Source organism: Homo sapiens, chromosome 4 (assembly GCF_000001405.40).
Source record: "Homo sapiens chromosome 4, GRCh38.p14 Primary Assembly".
NCBI lineage: Eukaryota > Metazoa > Chordata > Mammalia > Primates > Hominidae > Homo > Homo sapiens.
This window is the reverse complement of record NC_000004.12, coordinates 93,227,247-93,247,411: the sequence shown is the minus strand read 5'-3', so window position 1 is coordinate 93,247,411 and position 20,165 is coordinate 93,227,247. Positions and strand designations below refer to the sequence as shown.

The following is a 20,165-nucleotide window of genomic DNA, read 5'->3' as shown; positions in this document are numbered from 1 at the left end:
TATTCAGTTCCCCAACAGATTGGATGATGCCTATCCGTATGGGTGAGGTAATCTTTACCCAGTACGCCAATTAAAATGCTAATCTCTTCTGGGAATACCTTATAGACAGATCCAGAAATAATGTTTTACCAGCTATCTTGGGACCCCTTAGCCCAGTCAAGGTGACACATAAAATTAACCATCACAACAAGCAAACAGTTCAGATTTTATAGTCCTTCTAGAAAAGTCGTTCCTATTTTCACCAAGACTTGGACACAGAATTGTACCCCATCAGTCATCTTTGCTCCACACTGGAGAGGTTGGCATGATCCCAACCACCAGAAGAGATAGCTCCCATTCTCTCCAAGAGGCAGTGAATGCTGCTTACCTGAGGTAGAACTCCTCCAGAAGTGATCTCAACCAACCAGCTGCTAACCCTTCCAGAAACTCAGAGTAACCCTAAACATCAGCAGATACGGGTTATTTTCTCTACTCTGCAGTGAAATCAGATAGGCTCCCTAAGAAGCTGAAACAATTTGGTCCACAGAATATACTTTTCAAGAGTGCAGGGTTCCCCTACCCATCAAGAGACTGCTGGGATCAATGATTTTGAGAGTCTAACTCAATGGTAATGTTAGAAAGTATTAGACTGCATATCCATCTCATGACTTTATGGTACAAGCTATTTTCTTGAAGACACATCAGAATAAAAGCTGATGGAGCTAAATGTATAATGATTATATATTATAAATAAAGGAGAATGGGATAAAGAAATAAAAGCTATTGTGTTCACAACATACTATTACTTCATAATATTTTCTTTTCTTTTTTTCTTTTTTTTTTTTTGAGAAGGAGTCTTGCATTGTCACCCAAGCTGGAGTGCAATGGCCCAATCTCGGCTCACTGCAAGCTCTGCCTCCCAGGTTCACGCCATTCTCCTGCCTCAGCCTCCCGAGTAGCTGGGATTGCAGGTGCCCGCCACCACACCCAGCTAATTTTTTGTATTTTTAGTAGAGGCGAGGTTTCACTGTGTTAGCCAGGATGATCTCGATCTCCTGACCTCGTGATCCACCTGCTTCGGCCTCCCAAAGTGATGGGATTACAGGTGTGAGCCACCATGCCAGGCCCTACTTCATAATATTTTCTAGATTCTCTCTATTATATAAACCTTCCAAGACACAATTCATTGCTGGAACTAGGACAGTAATTGAAGATGGCAGATTTTCCAATTATGGGCTTAAACTATAAAGACTGGGTTTATGCAGGCTATGTTTACCATCAGATTTTCTGTTATTAGATTTCCATACAACTGTAGATATTATAGTTTCCAAGCCTTGATTAACAGACTTGTAGAATTTTGGAGCCATAAAGGACATTAAATGAAACAAAAAAGTTAGTGTTTCATGCTATCACTGTGACTGTCATGTATAATCCTCTGTCAACCACATCTAAAATCAAGTTACTTTCACCACCTCACATAGCAGCTTCTTGTCAGAATAGCAACTAGACTTTGTAGTTCTTGTGTTGGGTTGAAAATGAATTCTGTTAATTCCTGTATATTTCTGAACAGGTATTATTTTAATTTTCCCTTATTGTGTAACCTACAAACATAATTTCAATTAATCCTTACAAAAATCCTGAGAGATAAGTATTACTATTCACATGTTACATGTGTTACATTCACATATTATAGAACTTGAAACTCAATTTGCTTTGAAGTCCAAAGATCAAACAATCAGTAAGTGACAGAGGCAGAATTTCAACCCAGGTATGTCTAACAGCAAAGGCTACACGTTTTTCCACTACAGCCTGTTAAATCTAGTCTCGCTGTGAGACAATAATCTTAAAAGTACAAATACTAATGGTCCGAATAAACTTGTACTTTTATGGGTATTTCCATTTTGCTTGGAATAATCAATTTAAGTACTCACTATTTCCCTATTCACAACAAATTCTTGCAAACAAATTATACATATATCTTGCTTAACCATTAAAATTATTGTTTATACTTTTGGTGATCAAGTGCCCAACTCTGATAGGAATTGAGGATAAAGAGTGTAACACCCACTAACATTCTGGTTAATTTAAATGCAAATAATTATGTTTCATGTAAATAGAAGAAAAACAAGGCTGCTAAACTTACAGATGCAGAGAAGAATCTTATGGATTCTTACATCAGTATGCACATGTATTCATTAGTTCATTCATTAAATACTTAACAAGCATCTATTATATGCCATTCATTAGGAATACAACAGAAAACAAACATAGTTCTTGTCTCATGAAGTAACATTGTAATGGGAAAGACAAATTATAAAAGAGTAAGTTAATTATATTTACATATACACATAGAAGAGTTATATGTATAATTATATTGTCAATTCACAATATTTTCTAGATTCTCTCTATTATATAAACCTTCCAAGACATGAATTCATTGTTAGAACTATGACAGTAAATAACTATGGCAGATTTTCCAATTATGGGCTCAAATTACAACTGGGTTTTATATTACAAAGACTGATATAATATCAGTTTGCAAAAAGTGCTTTAAGAAAACATAAAACAGGGTAATACCAAAAGATAAATGTCATTTTAGATATTCCAGAATCAGAATACAAATAAAATGCTGAATACAAGTGCAATATTTAATCACTGGCTATTTGAAAGCAGAGCTGTTCTCTCCTCCTTATAAGTACAAAGCAATTAAAGATTTTAGTCCATTAAAAATTGGTGTATTTTTAATAGATTACATAATCTATTAATTAATATATAATAGATTATATAATCTATTAATTAATATATAATAGATTATATAATCTATTAATTAATATATAATAGATTATATAATCTATTAATTAATATATAATAGATTATATAATCTATTAATTAATAGATTATATAATCTATTAATTAATAGATTATATAATCTATTAATTAATAGATTATATAATATAATATCCTTTGCGAAGCAGTACATTAGGTTTGCCCAAGAACACAAAGTTGTAGACTTTGTGAATTTAAAGCTGGAGAGCCCGAATAAAGATTCTAAGTATATCTGAGAAACCACTGTACCTAGGAGGTAAAATATCTCTGACGTACATTTTATTTTACCAACTTATGAGAAAACACTTTTATGAAGATATTAAGCATTACTATGCAATTAAGATTGGTTGTGAAACCAGCTTTAATCAGCTTTTCCTAGCCTTATTCCGTTTGTGATAAAGTTCAAAGACACTAAGTCTAGAGTATTACATTTTAATACTGGAATTCAGTCTGCAATAATATGTGAGCAGCACTGGCAAACTTAACAAAAATGAGACAAATAAGCAAACAACATTATGTAAAACTCTTCTAATGAAAAACATATATTGATTCCTTAAACGTAGAGTTATTTAATCTTTACTTTTTATGTCTTCTTATAATAACTTTTGCTCAAATTAATTTTTTTTTTAGAAATTCTATATAGTGACTAACAGAAACAGAAATAACCACATTCTTGGGCAAAATTTAAGGGTATAGAAAACCTTAGCGATTTCAAAATTTGACTTTGAGTTTTACCTGAATTTATCTTCAAGGGTATATACAATGTGCTAACATGTTGATATACCATCTGCTAAATAAGTACCACCTTATGACAAAATAGAAGAACATGTAAAAATTATCAAAGTAAGAAAGTCCTTAATTTAGATGAACATCAGTGAGAATCAAATAATCCCTTCCACATTCTCACCAAACTCAAAAAAATGAAACCATCATTCATACAATGCCAAGAGAGCAAAGACTAGTCCAAAATTTGGGATTATGAATCCTTGGTACATCACACATTCAAATCCTGAGCAGACAAAACTCTGTTTAGTTTATGAGACCTGACAATACCCCTGCTTGAGGTGATAAGGCTGCAGTCTTTGTATACACTGAGCCACTGGCAGCAGAATAAACACTGACAACTTGACAGTCCGTCAACTGAAAAACCATTCACTCCTTTTGAGACATGGAGAAACTGGGAGTGGAACCTTCATTTTGGACACACATCTAGTAAATCTATATTGCAATTGTTTGCGTGGTGTTATTTTCCTTTCATAAGTATCTTTGAAAGCATTATTATATGGGTTAATACCTATACAAAGGAACTGCCCCATTTATAAAATGAGCTGGCAAGCTATGAATTAATCCATAATACTTTTAAAATTACTTGAGTGTTAGATCTGGAGTTTTAAAAAAATTAGTAATTAAATTGCAGCTTAGTAGAAAAATAATTGAGTTATAAAAATGAAAATTTCAAAATTAAGAATGCTTAAATTTGTAAAACAATGCAAAAAAAATTTCAAGTGTCAAAGGTATACAAGGTACCATGGAATAAATATTTATAGTGCCTTTCATAATACCTCTATAGTGCCAGCTCACAGAACATTTCAATACAGTTTGGGAGTTGGGACATAGGAACATAAAAAATGAAATAATTACAGGAGTTATTACTTAAGGACAAAGTAGATGTAATCTAATGTGTATGATTCACTATCATTTTAATAGCAGAGATTTAACAATTACAAACTCTGAATTCAGAGCAGGTTGAAACAACTATATTGACCTCAGAACTCCGTTAAATGACACTGGTTTTAGAAGGCTAAATGAAGCTCTCCTCTGCCACCCTCACAAACATCCCTTGATGAGTGCCTAGAACCTACCCAGCCTTAGGATAATGAATTCAGTTCTCTCTCTCCCCAAACATAATTTCTGGCTCTGAAGCTCTCTCACTTAATCCATACTAATATACAAGCTCTTCAGATGTGCTGAACACACACTAACCTCTCGAGCCATACTTTGTCTCTGTTATACTCTTCCTTTCTTCATTGCCATTCATGTTCAGTTTAGATTTTATGCTTTGTCACTTCAACCATTGCCTTGCCAATGTTCTTAACCATACTGCCTTGTTGTACTGCTATCAAACACAAAGCAACACAATACAAAACAAAAATAACCCGATGAAGCTTCAAGCCTACATTAATTTAAATTTATTCAGTCTGCTCAATGCTGCTGGACAAACATCCACAACTGTGTAGATTAGTACTACAGTGATTTCTTGATCTCTAGCCTCATGTGAGCCAATAGCCCTCCCTGGCATTTCTTCAATATTCCCTAGTCACCTCTCTTGTTTGCCACAGCAGCTATTTCGAAACTTCTCCACTGTTGTTAAACCTCCAGTCTCATTATTGCCAATGCCTTCTGCTGCATTTTCCCAATTAGAAGATAATCTTGCCTCCTATTTCTCCAAGCAAAGACAATTTATTAATAATTTTCTTAACTTCCTAACATCAAACATAAAGACTTGCTTGCAAACACAGCATTCTTTTCTTACCCCTACCCCTTATCACCCTGGAAAATGATGTTCCCCGGTGCCTATGGTTAAGTACTCCATCTAATTCTTGATCCAATCCTCTCTTTTCCCCTACTGTATCGCTATCAATTATCACCTTTCTTTCTTATATCTTCATTTTCTTCTTCACTACTGGCTTGGTCTGTGAGCATTCAAATATACTCAAATCTCTTACATTGTAAAAAATCTCTCCCAACAACTTCACAAAGTCATTTAATTACTACCCAAACATACTCACTTTTTTTTTTTTTTTACTTTTCTACTGTTGCTATTTAAACATATGGCATTACCCCTCTACTGAAATTTCAGTTATTAATGAAAATTAACCACAACTTCTTGTGATGTACTAGACATGGTTCTGGATGCTTTGCCTTGTTGCTAACTCATTTAAGTTAGGCCAGCATACCTTAATTTCAAAATCCAACAGAAAGGACAGCTTTAGGCAACCTCAGTCATAAGTATCAATATAAAACCCTTATGCAAGGTGGTAGCAAATCAAATAATTTTATGTAAACATAAGCATAATTATAATTTTACATATGTATAAGCAATTTTATATAAAATTATGCATATCCCAGGAACGTATGGAGTTTCCTTAATCTGATCTAAGTTAGTTATAAATATATAGTAGTATAGTGGTATAGTGGTGAATGTTTTCTCTCCGAGATTGATAACGATCCAAAAATGCCTACTACTGTTATTTCCATTCAACATCATCCCTAGAAGGTGTAAAATAACAAAAGAAGAGGCAAAAACTCTTATTAATTGCAAATGACAAGACAATTTGCAGAAAATTCACAAGAATCTACAGTTGAATTATCAGAATTAAAAGTCTGAGCAAGAGTGCTAGATATAAAATCAATATAAAATATCATTTGTATATACAGCAGCAAACAGAAAATGACATTTAGAAGATACCATATTATATTTATAGACTATAATACCACTCAGCAATATAAATTAAAAGACAAACAAGCAAAATTATTGACACATGAAAATAAGAATGTACCTTAAATGTTGAGAGAAGAAAGACACAAATGTGTAAATACTACCTTATCCATTTATATAAACTTTCAGGCCAAGCAAACTGTCTGTGCTTCTAATAATAAAAACAGGAATAATGGCACTTTCTGAGTGACAGAAACATTCAATAACTTGACCTGGTTAGTGGTTAAATTGGTGAATGCGACTACTCTAAGTCATTGTGCACTTAAATTATATCTCAATAAAACAAATGAAGAGTATTGAAGAGTAAAATTTTACCTTTTTCTTACCCCGTATATATATAAAAAAAAAACTTCTAGATAGATAAAAGACCTTAATTTGGAAGGCAGAACTGTAAAACCCTTGGAACATAATTGAGCATAATATATTCATGACTCTGGGGGATAGGGAGTAATTTCTTAGATAATACTAAACAGCAATAATAATAAGGATGAAAATTCATAGTTCCTCTAAATTTAAAGATACTATAAATGGCATTGAAATAAAATCCACAGAGAAGAAAACAAAACTGGCAAAAATTAAATGATAAAACACTAAAATTCAGAATATATACATAACTTCTAAAATCAATTATAAAAAGCAAAAGACACCCTTCTCCAAAAAAAAAATAATGAGCAATTAACTCAGAAACACCTGAAGAGCCTAAATATGTAGGAAAAGGTGCAGACTGTTTCATAATCAGGGAAATGTAAATTGAAATCATGAGGATATATCATTATATCCACCCAATAAGTTAATAAAATTTTAAGTCTTACAAATTCAAGACTTGATTAGAATGTGGGGCAATGCCTGCACTGCTGGTGGTATGTAAATTAGTAAATTACTATGAAAATGGGTTTGATGTTATCTGGTAAAGTTCAAGATATGGTTTCTTATATTGCAGGCAGTTCTACTTCTGGATACAAAACCTACAGAAATACACCTACAAGCATAAAAGTATCCAAGATGTATATCCAAGAATTTTTGTAACAGCAGCTTATAGCAGTCTAAAAATGGAAACAAACTGCAGTGGTGTGGGACAAATCCATACAATAGAAAACAATACAGCAATATAAATGAATAAACTGCCACTCCATGTAACAACAAGGATCAATAACATAAACACACTGTTGAACACAAGAAGCAAGAAGAAAAGGATATACGCATTCTTGAGACCATTCATAAGTTGAAACATTGACAAAACAATTATATAAGGATGTAAACACAGGTGATAAAAACATATTTTAAATGCAAATAAATTAACATCGTAAAAATCAGTCTAAATATTACACTATTGACAAGGATGGTCTGACGGTAATCAGAGAGAAGCATATGGGAGGGTTGAGAATCCTGGCTATTTTCTATTTCTTGACCACAGTAGTGGTTCTTTCCTTTAAAATAATTCACTAAACTTTGTGTTTTATGCAGTTTTCTATATGTTTCATATTATTCACTATAAAACAAAAATTTTAAATGCATCAAGATAGTTTCATCCATATTAGCATGAATTTATTGAGAAATTTGTATTGCTAATTACTCCTCACTTCATTTTGTCTAGGTTGTTTTGCATCTTACATCTCAGCACTAAAAATACCTACTGAAGAACCTGTTACCCTAAATGTCATCAACTTTAGACAGTTAGAAATTTACAGTTACCAGCTCTGCGTACACAATTATGTTAGGTTTTTCCCTACCAAATATAGATAGATAGATAGATAGACAGATACATAGATAGATAGATAGCAAATCCAAATCATATATATATGTGTGTGTATATATACATATGATTTGATATATTTATATGATATATATATGATTTATTTCCCTACCAAATATATCTATATGTGTGTGTGTGTATATGTGTATATATATAATTTGGATTTGCTATATATATATATATTATATATATCAAATGCTATAAATATATATATATTTGATATATATATCAAAAATTTATATATAGCAAATCCGAATTATAGAAACATCATTTATATAAGGGCGTTTGTATTTCTCCTTGAGAAAGTTATTGTCCCAGTATTTCATGAAACATCATTATTGGCACTCAGCTTCTTCTTACATGTGATCAGTAGTATCCAACAAGAGTTCATTTTCTGCAAACTATTTTCTACATATTACATGACACATACAGAAGGTAAAATACTGTAATGTCACATCTTGCAGTAGACTTTCTGTCTTACTATATGAAATTTATCCAAGCTCTTATTCTGATTTTGTACATGTTACAAGTTAAAAACCAAGCAGCTACAAAGTGTATAAATATTAAATTTACTATTTTATAAAAACTATTATTGTAACAAATGAAAGATGATGCTATTTCCCTAGGTAAGATTCAGATTACTTTTTTCCTTTACATTATTCTAAGTCGGAAATAGAATTTCTTGCTTAATACTTCTGGTAAATATTTAAAGTCATTTCAATGCCTAATTTCCCCTCACCCCCTGCTTTCTCTTTCACACTACAATATTGACTTTAATGGGTACTGTGATCATACTGCATGGAAAACAATCAAGCAAAACCATAGTATAGGAAAAAGCGTATTAATCAGTGTGTCTTGTCTTACTTTTCGAACACCTCTGCCAAGCTCTTCTCCATAGTTGGTTCCAAGGATTTCAAAGTGGACATTGGGATTGCCTCCATTTTCTCCAAATTCTAGCTCTCCAGTCAACCCACTAACTCCACCCTAAAGGAGAGAACAGATACTGATGTAAAATTTGAGAAGTAAAAAAATAAATAAATAAACATAAAAGGAACTTCTAGGAACTCTACTTCTATCTATAAAATAATATTTAAAGTAAGCAATTTTTAACAGACTACTTTTTAAAATAGGTACACAGCATAAACAGGAGTACAGTTGAACCTAACTTTGGAAATTCCTTAATCCAATCTCATCCATTTTTCATAAAAACAGAAATTTAGACCCCAAAAGTCAAGTGACTGCTCAAAATGAAACCATGTTAGAGCTCAGACTAAGTTCCAGGCTCAAGTTTTTGCCACCATACCTTGTGACTTGAATGGATCCATCTTGAAAACAAGATGCTTCTGGAGTGCATAAAATCTATATAAGATAGATTTCAACAATCTTCTTTGTTCTAGCACAATTCCATTCAATTTGGTCTAAAATTATACCTGGGGATCTTAAAATCCATGGTTTCTAGATTATTAGAGGGTGATTTTTTTGCCCCTTCTTTAAATATATTTTCCAAATCAAAAATAAAAGAAAGTTAAATTAGGCTTGAAATCTGTTTTTGCTCTTAACGGGTAGTGCTGGCTGTTGAGATTCTCTGGGAATTCCAAGCTTCATCTTTCATTCAATATGACAGATGTTCATTTATCCAACAGATGGCAATGTAGGTCATACTTCTCTCTTTCTTGTTTATCATTCTTTTCTCAGTTTAGTTTATCAGTCTTCATATTATTTAGGATTTTACAAATGAAAATCGCACTCTGAGTCACTTCAATGCTAAAATATGTCTAACTTAAAATTTTGGCCTGGTAATGACATTTATTTAGAAAACAAATGATCTCAGTTTTGTAAATTGTTTTAATTATCACCTCTAAGATGTTGATATTTAAATATATCTCACTTGACATAACCTGCAACTCCGTTTCCAGTCTTTTCTGGCTGGTAGTAATATTATGCTATTTGCTTTTCCTTCTACTTCATTTGTGCCTTGTAGCCCAATCACCTGATGCAAAGTTCATGATGAGTTCAATAAACTATTTTTGATTGATGTTTTCCTACCTGAATCACTAATTTTAATATTTAATCTATTGTATTTTTATAATAGTAATAATCAACAAAATTAATTCTTTACTATTATTCCCTAATCAGCCAGTTTCTATTATCTAGTTTTATTAATAAAAATCCTAGTGGATTTTCATGCATGATTTAGCAGTCAAGAACATAGGTCACACTTCCTGGGTTTCACCAATGGCTTCGGGATCTACTAGATGTGTAAACCAGGCTAAGCCATTTCATTTATGCCTCAAACACTAGATCTGTTAAATGGGAAAATAATAGTGCCTACCCCAGAAGATTATTCTGATTCTTATAATACATGTACAGAATATTGAAAAGTTCTTGACATGTGGTAAGAGCTTAAATACTATTATCATCATTACTTCCACTGTTACTTAATTCTTTATTTTTGAAGGATTTTTAGTTCTCTTAGAAATCGTTGGCATAATCTTGTTTTGTTAATTAAAATTCAGTGGGTTTGCCAAAAATTATTATACGCTTAAATATTTAGATGGCTTTGGAAAATATTTTTGCAAATGTCAACTCAGTTACATTTCATTGATTAGTACTTGAAGAGAAAAAAGTTAAGCAGCTGGTCTAGGATGTATTCACTCCTTTCACTGGTGTGTGTATAGGGCAGCAACTGAGGGTGAAGGTTGGTCTAATTTCCCTGCCAATTGGAACTCCAGGTAAACAGACTGGTAATATTTACTAGGTGGAAGATTCCTTATCTATACAAAGCCCTTAGCAGGATATCCCAGGCTAAAAAATACTGTAGTAAATAAACCCAGGATCTATGGATTAATGGTTTGTGGCTCCTCAGAAAATGTCCTGAAGCTTTACATTTTCTCGGGTAAAAATGGAAATGTTTCATAATGTAAATCCTCCCTGTGGTGAGAAATAAACCTATGAAACCTTCCTTGGAGACCGAATCAGCATTTCCAGTGTGGGAAGAAAGAACCTGGGGAGCCATGCAGAATGTCTCCTCCTTTTTCTCCTTTGTTCCCTTTGATTGCTTGTATTTTTGATAAGGGCAATATACCTGATTCTTGCCAATCTATTCCGGTATGTGCTCACTGTTAATATCTCAAAACATCCAATTATATTTTAAAGACTGAAGTAAGTGCAGTGCATCTTATTATCATTAGTATCTCCAAATGACAAATACTGTAGGAATTTGATTGACAAATATAGCTTATATTACTACAAGTAAGTTCAAAAACTTGTGTTCAGAATATTTTTATACAAGTTTTTCTTGTTCATAATCACACATCTACCTGATTAATATCTTCTAATTATATCAGAATCTTAAATTTATGTTTTAGTAGCTTATTTATACGAAAAAGATATCATATATCAATATAATTGCTACATAAAACTACTATATCCCTAAAATGTTTACACATTTGAGCACTAGACTAATCTGGTGTTGTGTTATTATTTTCAATCAATACCCACATGACCACTCCAGGTCATGCCTTTATCCTTTACTTTATCTTCCACTGAATGACTTAGTTTACTTGAAGAAGGTACAGAAAACAATAAATTGGGGGACTTGCATTTAGTTTGCTGCAGCATTTACTTACCTTGCTCAACTTTATGACTTTGTGATTTATCTTCCTTATGCTATATTCCTAATGAGCCGTTGGCATGTAAAATCAGTGAAACCTTCCCTCATGAAGATGTCAGGGATGATTCAGAGGTCAGTATTTCGAGCAAATAAACCCTTTAACTAAAACCTATTGTTATATCACCCAGACTTAACCTCTCTGATTTTGGATTGCCTTAGAAAATTCCAGCGCTTTAAAGCTTTTTTCCATCTATCCTCAAATTAACCTTGAAAACAGAGCCTTGGTGAAAATGTGTGCTAGCCAAGGGGTAATGAATGGTCATTATTTTTGTGCATGCATGGTGGTATTTTTTATCTCTTGGTGATGCAGCAGATTTTCAACAATATAAGCTAATGGGACATTGGTAGTATGAATAACACATACAGATAATTTCTAAACGTCCTTTAAATTGGCAGTAAAAATTGCTGCCAGAGTAAACCTTTTTAAAAAATATGAAATAAAATTTGTTTTAATTTCATCCATCCACTTGATATAGAAATACCAGTGGACATCAAATATAGAGAGCAAAGAGTAGAAAAATTAAAAGAAGAGAATCAGAGGTTGAGAATAATTTACCACTGGATAATGAGTTTCTAAAAGGCAAAATGTATTATTCACCTATGGCTAGGAAAAGTTGGGGAAAAAGTAAAAAAAAAATTACTGAGACTTTATGTCATTCTGTTTATGATGAAGGATCTTTTCCTACGCTTGAAATGGCAAAGGAACTTAAGAGATACTTTTGGAGGATCACGTGGGACATCAAATATTTATCATACTCGTCTAATTTCCTTATACATATTTCTAGGTTCCTTGTAACCTGCAGATGTGTGTGGTAACCAAGGATAATCTGTTAATATAAGCATGGGCCCAGCAAGGCAGTGAATACTCTGGGAGGTGCCAGACTCAGCAGGGAGCCCTGATGCCTTCATGTTTCATCAGCATCAGGTTCAGAGAGAAAAACCCCTAACCAGAAAAATACCACATTTTCTACCCAACAAACAAATATTTTTATGGGTAAATAGAAACTAAGATACAAGATGCAAAAAAAAAAAAAAGAGGACGACAAATACAAAGAATCTAGTTTGTGTGAAATATCTAGGAAAATTTGAGTTGCCATGTAACATTACGTGTGTGTATATATACATATATTTGCATATATACATATACACTCAAATAGTCATTCATAATAGAGACTCACAGCCAGCTGAGAAGTAAACAGGAAGTTACAAGCATTGTGATCATGCTGTCTCCATCTTAGGGGACCCTTAGGCCCTAAGTCAACCGGTTAACTGAGGAGCCCAAACTGAAACCTTCATCTTGTGTCTCGTATTTTTTCCTTTGGACTATGTAAACTGTGTGTTCAATATAACATATTATATATAGAGAATTGCTCAGAAGGGCATGTTGAACTGAATTAAATTAAATCTATTCCAGTTTACCTACTTTATGATCAAAATGACCTGAAGCTGGAGTGTATCTTGGTGAATTGACAAGAGGCCTATACCGAGAGCATGGATGACAGTTTTTAAATCCCCATGACAAAAAGTTTATTTGCACACATTTTTGTAAAAAGGCTACCTTATATTTCAAGACAATACTGTTTGTGGTAAGCCAGATTATGTTTTCCTAAATTCTCTCTCTTTCCTTCAGATTTGTAAATTCTAAATGATACATAGTGCTTTAAACAAAAAGTAATGTCTCCATTTCTCTAAGTATGCAGACGTTTTAAAAGGCCACAAAACCAAACATGACAACTTATTAGAGTTCATTTTGTCCCAACCATTAACCTAGGAATCATTATTTTAATCTTTGTCTTCCTCACACACTTATTAAATCACCAAATCTTATTTCAATCCTGTAAATATCCTCAAGGATATCTACTTCTATCCATCCCATGGCCCACAACCTAACCAGGTCCTCTCTAAGTAAGAAGATTAGCCTCTTAATTGGTGTTCTGTCATGCAGTCAGTCTGGTTCAATGGCAGTTGCAGAATTCTCTACTTGGCAAGCATGGGATAATCTGATTTTATCACCACCCTGTTTAAAATACCTCAGTGTCGGCTGGGTGTGGTGGCTCACACCTGTAATTCCAGCACTTTGGAAGGCCAAGACAGATGGATCACCTGAGGTCAGGAGTTCGAGACCACTCTGCCCAACATGGTGAAACCCTGTCTCTACTAAAAATACAAAAATTAGCCAGGTGTGGTGGTGCGCGCCTGTAATCCCAGCTACTCAGGAGGCTGAAGCAGAAGAATCACTTGAACCCAGGAGGCAGAGGTTGCAGTGAGCTGAGATCACACCACTGTACCCCAGCCTGAATGACACAGCGAGACTCCATCTCAAAAAATAAAAAATAAAAAAAAAAATAATAATAATAATAATAATAATCCTTCAGTGTCACGTTATTCCTTGAATAAAATTTGGAAATTTCAACATCGTTTATCAAACCCTTGATGGTCTTTCCCCCTTTTAGCTAATTAGAAGCCATGTCTCTATTCTGGCTGCCTTGGGCTTATTTCAGGTGCTTCAATGTGTTAAGCTCTCTTTCCTACAAGCCTAGAAACATTCTATTTCATTTGCATGAGGCATTCTTCCTTCCCCTTTCCTGGAATACTCTTCATTTTCCTTTCTTGGCTAATGCATACTTAGCCTAAACGTTTCCACTTATCTATCACTCTCAGGCCTAAGTAGGCCCTCCAATGACATATTTCTAGAACACTTGGTATTTCTCCTTTTGTAGAACAAATCATGCTTGTAATTATTTTTGATATTTCTATTTTCCTTCCTTATTCTCTGATCTTATGGTACAACATATGGTAGTATTCAATAAATATTTGTTGAATGAATAAATTACCATGTAAGAAATGGTATAATTTCAATATTTTTATCATTTCAAAAAATACTTTTTGAGATATCAACATATATCAAGATAACTCTATGAGATATCATATTGATATATGTTGGGCTCAACATATATCAATATAAGAAAATGTACTGGTACTTAAATATTTGACATATTGCATAAACTGATATTTTCTATTTTCCCACATTCCATATTAAAAATAATTACATAAATTTTAACAGAAATTGGTCAATTAAGACAATGCAAAAGAATTTGATTTAAAGATCTATTACAATTTAGTTCACTTACTAATATAGAATACATATATCAAGATAACTCTATCAGATATCATATTGATATATGTTGGGCTCAACATATATCAATATAAGAAAATGTACTGGTACTTAAATATTTGACATATTGCATAAACTGATATTTTCTATTTTCCCACATTCCATATTAAAAATAATTACAAAAATTTTAACAGAAATTGGTCAATTAAGACAATGCAAAAGAATTTGATTTAAACATCTATTACATTTTAGTTCACTTACTAATATAGAATACATAGAAAATGTCCAGTGATTTTATGTGCAATCACATAATTTTGAATCTAAGATTTTTCTTAGCTTTTAAAAAATTAAATAAAAGAGGTAAAGGTGTTCTAAAATTCAGGTCTGATTTTATCCAAAAATTATTTAGTGTCTTACATTTACCCACAAAATAATTTTTTTCCTAAATCACTTTCCAGTCAAAACAATTTTATGTGTTCTCTGCACTCTGGTAATCAACTCTTGTCATTGTACAAATGATTTAGTCTAATAGATATATCAGCTACAGCATTCTACCACCTGAAATATCCTCCTTCCATAGCTTTATATATCCTAAGCCTGCTAGTTTTGAAATTTCCATTAAGATGCTATCAGTTCCATGCAAATATTTCTAATCTATTTTCTAAGTTGGGTTCTCAAGGAAACAGGTATGAGATGGAGATTTGCTTGTATGCAGAAGGTTTATTTGAAGTGCTACTGAGAGAGCACTTGCAATGGAGTGAGGGAAGAGGGACTGGACAGAGGAAGAGATGAAAGTTTGATGCAAATACAATACCAGTTTAGATCATCCAACGTACTAGTCTGTAGATAACCCTTCATATTTGTCCCCTGAAGAAATGAACTTAGACATTTCTAGTTTTGCAATGACTGTTCATTGGATTCATGCTGCCCCTAGAAAGAGGGTGGAACAATTCCCGTCCATGGCAATTCCTGAACAGAGGCTCAGATGTCTTTCTTGGCTGTGAAGCAAGTATCTCAGTATGTACCACAGCACATTACACTCTTCTCTAAGATTCTACAGTATCCTATATTTACCACATTTGGGTCTTTTTGTTGTTTCTGGCCTTAGAGTGTAGCTCTTTGTATAGTTAGTCAATATTCACTACTGGCCTCTAAATTTCTTTTTTTTTTTTTTTTGGCAGGGGGTGCGGGGTAATTCCATAAATGAGTTTGCACAGTACATTCTACAATATAGAAATTTGATAAATACCTGTTAAAAGAGTGATTAATACATGAATGAAGTGCCCTGTTGAAAATTGTTTCAGTATTAAAAATATTAACACTAAGAAAAAAATGAAAAATGATTTCTATTTAAATATAGTACACTTCTGTAAATAAAAACAGGCTACTCGTGTTGCAATGACATGGCACTATTCCAAGAAGGTAGATCTGCACTGGGCAAATTGATTTATAAATACCCCAGGGGAGTGGTTTTCAAATTGTAGCTCTAAGAGCTGATTGTGGTGGGTGTCTCTGGAAATCCTCTCCTACTTTTTTCCAGAACAGCTCAAATTTATTGATTATATTTATATAGTTAAAAAGTTTGAAAGCTTGCTCTAGGTTACATAACACTAACAAATTAAATTATACTACATGAAAACTCTTTCCCAATATATAAATATAGTTTTCATGAGAAGCTACAACAATGTAACTTGTCATAATAAACTAAAGACTGAAAAACAAGCCATATTAAAACTTAAATAGGGTTTATATAATATTAATTGAGGGTGTTTATTCCCATGATTTCTTGGTGTGCATGTTTAGCCAAGTGACTTTGACAGGAGTGAATAAAAATGATTGCCATGAACAAGAAAAATGGTAAATGGTAAAGTACACAGACACCAAATTAGAAACCAAAAAACCTGGTATTTAAAACTAATTAGCTACGCAACACTTAGTACATCATTTAATTTTTCTGAATTTCGGTTCTGTACACCTAAAAATAGAATAAAAAGGTTAGATTAACTTTATTGTGACTTGCTACTCTATAACTGTACAAGTTACTAATAAAAACAACTTAATTACATAATATAATAAAACAAAAATAGAAGAATACTTTCTTTACAAAATTTTTAAAAATCCTCTTTTCAGATAATGCTCCTGGTATGTTTAAGAGTATACTTGTTGCATGCTGCTTTTTAAGTCTATGCCAATACGTAAAGTATTAGAATTGGAGTGATTAATTTTATTTGACAGTGATATCAATGTATATTTGAAAAATACAAGAGAACCAGTAATTAAGTTTGGAAAGTTGATCAGGTCAGTCAAAAAATATATGAAACATCAATATCTTCCTTTAATACCTACAATAACCAGTTTGAAAATCTAATGGAACATATCTCATTTATGATAGCATGCACACACACACACACACACACACGCATACACACACATCCTATTAAAGTTTAGAAATAAATAGAATGAAAATATGTGTGAAGAACACTATAAATCTTTAATCAGGATTACAAAAAGCTAACTATATGGATAGATGCCATGTTATAGATGGAAAGACTCAATATTTTTAAAACTATAATTCCTTCAAAAATATCATACAACATCCACGTAAATAACAATGGCACAGGGCTGCTGATAATATTTGGCAGGAATAAACAGGCAAGCATTAACTGCTAATTTTTAAAAAAAGAATGAAAATGAGGAGGCACTTATTCTACCGATTCATATATTATAAAGCTCAGGTACACAAGAGTACCTGAGAAACAGAAACCTTGCCCATTACTAGACATTTATACTACTATGTCAATGACATTATTTTTAATTCTTTTGTTTCATTCCCCATAATAAGAATAGAAATTAATTTAGGGAGAGAAACTTGTTCTCTTCTTGCTTGTACTTTGTGCAGCAGCACACGGATTTTTAATGTGTATGTAGCGTGCCCTTAATATAGGCATTTTGTATTTATTTGAATGTAATTAAAAATTTCAACACTAGAATATTCCCATCATAATAAAGAGCCTGACCTCATTTGTGTTGCTGGCTGCTGACTTCTTTTTAAGCCTTACCCTCCCTTTCTTTGGCCCCACATCTGTACAGTCTGATTAAGAAAGGCCATCCTACATCTACTTATTTGACACCTGTAGGAAACTTGAGCTTCTCAAATCTCCAGCCCGCATGAGTGGGAACCTTTTGCCAGCCCTAACCCCTAGTCAACAAAAAGGCCCAGGCCACTCCCTCTGTTTTGTCCAAACCAGCCTGAATCTGTCTGGGGCCATTCTGCTCTTCTTGGGAGTCTCTATGTGAGTAATGAACTTTCTTTCTCACTTAATGTGTGGAGTATCACCAGCATTGACATCTAAATAGGTGACCAAAAACACTCATATGATGCAAAAAGTAATCCAATTTTTTTTTCTAAAAATCCATTTTTAAAGTCAGTTTGAAATGTGAGACAAAAATATAAAATTGAACATTTGTAATCATGTACATTATTCAAACTGAGTTTCTTGACACAAAGAATGGATATATTTCTTTAAAATGTGACACTGGGGCAGAAGCTGACAGGGACAAATGTACACATAGTCCCACAAAATAAAATTTCATAATTATTGTATTAAATAATTGTTTTGGTTATAAATTTTCTAACAGCAATATCTTACATATTGAATTTCTACATGAAAAATACTGACATATTATGGTGTCTCTCTTTCCTTCCTCCTGATCCTCTCACTAAAGTGTTTTCTAAGCAACCTCCTAAACTATTATTTTGTCTTGGTATGAAAGCTTCAGAAGAAGAAATATATTCAGGATCCTGCATCCTAGCCAAACCATGAATTAATAAATTGGCAGGATTAGAATCATGTTCAACAACCTCCCTTGGATTTATACCTGCCAGCTCTCTACATAGATAAGGCTGGAAGATTTTGGCAACACCTTGAGGCTAGATTAGACTTATTCATTTTTCAGTTGAAAAGTCTTTCTCTGCCAATATATTCAATACATTTAATTCTCAAGTACTTTTGTTGATAACAGCCAAAATTCTCATTAAAATTATCCTTGGCAAAGAAGACACAGCATTACTATGGTTTGAAATCCCCACCAAAACTCATCTTGAAATGCAATTGCCATTGTAATGGTATTGAGAAGTAGAAACTTTAAGAGATAAATAGATCATGAGAGTTTTGCCTTCATGAACGGATTAATGCTGTTATTGCATTAATAACTATAATGGGTTAATTGTCACAAGAGTTTGGTCCCCTTTTTGTCTCTGTCTCATGCGCTTGCTTGCCATGTGGTGTCCTTTCACCTAGGATAACCCTTATCAGATGCCAGCTCCAAGCCCTTGGATTTCCCAGTTCCAGAACTGTGTGCCAAATAAATTTCTGTTCTTAATAAACTACGAAGTCCATGGTATTCTAGCAGCAGAAGACAAATCAAGAGAGAAAACTGGTACCAATAAGTGGAGCTGTTGTTATAATAAATACCTGAATATGTGGAAGTGACTTTGGAACTGCATAAAGGTAGAGGCTTGAAGAATTTGAAGGATCAGACTAGCAAAAAAACTGTACTGCTGTGAATAGAGCTTTAAGAACAATTCTAGTGAGGACTTGGAAGAGGAGAGCTGTAGAGAAAGTCTGAATCTTCTTAAGAGTTTATTTAATTTGTTGTGACCAGAATACTCATAAAAATACGGAGAGAAAAGGACATTCTGGTGAGGTCTCAGACAGAAATGAGTAATAGGGTATTGGAAACTGGATTGAAAGCCATCCTTGCTGTAAAGTAACAAACACCCTGGCTGAATTGTGGCCATATTCTAGGACTTTGTAGAATTCAGAACTTAGGGGCAATGAACTAGAATATCTGGTTGAAGAAATTTCTAAACAGCAGAGCATTCAGGCTTCTGCCTGGCTACTTTTACCTGTACATAACATAATAAGATGTGAGAAAAATAAACGACTTAAAGATAGATTTTATATTAAAGACAGAAGCAGACAAAAAATCTGAAAAACTTACAGGGTGGCTATGTAAAGAGTGAAAACCTATGTTCAGGGACAGGCATGGTGGCTCACACCTGTAATCCTAGCACTTTGGGAGGCTGAGGCAGGCAGATCATGAGGTCAGGAGATCAAGAACGGCCTGGCCAACATGATGAAACCCCGTCTCTACTAAAAATACAAAAAATTAGCCAGGTGTGGTGGCATGTGGCTGTAGTCCCAGCTACTCAGGAGGCTGGGGCTGGAGAATCACTTGAACCCGGGAGGCAGAGGCTGTAGTGAGCTGAGATTGCACCACTGCACTCCAGCCTGTGCGAGACTGTCAAAAAAAATTA

At 33.4% G+C, this 20,165-nt stretch overlaps 1 protein-coding gene across 18 annotated transcripts in view; it reads right to left on the bottom strand.

Annotated features, from left to right (window-relative positions):
- Window positions 1-20,165, bottom strand: part of GRID2 (glutamate ionotropic receptor delta type subunit 2) — a 1,506,491-nt gene that overhangs the window by 563,045 nt on the left and 923,281 nt on the right. For all 18 annotated transcript variants that reach the window (NM_001440459.1, XM_024454024.2, NM_001510.4 and 15 more), the window contains one exon: window positions 8,922-9,041. In NM_001440459.1, coding sequence (NP_001427388.1) covers window positions 8,922-9,041 — 120 coding nt within the window. The remainder of the gene's footprint in view (window positions 1-8,921; window positions 9,042-20,165) is intronic.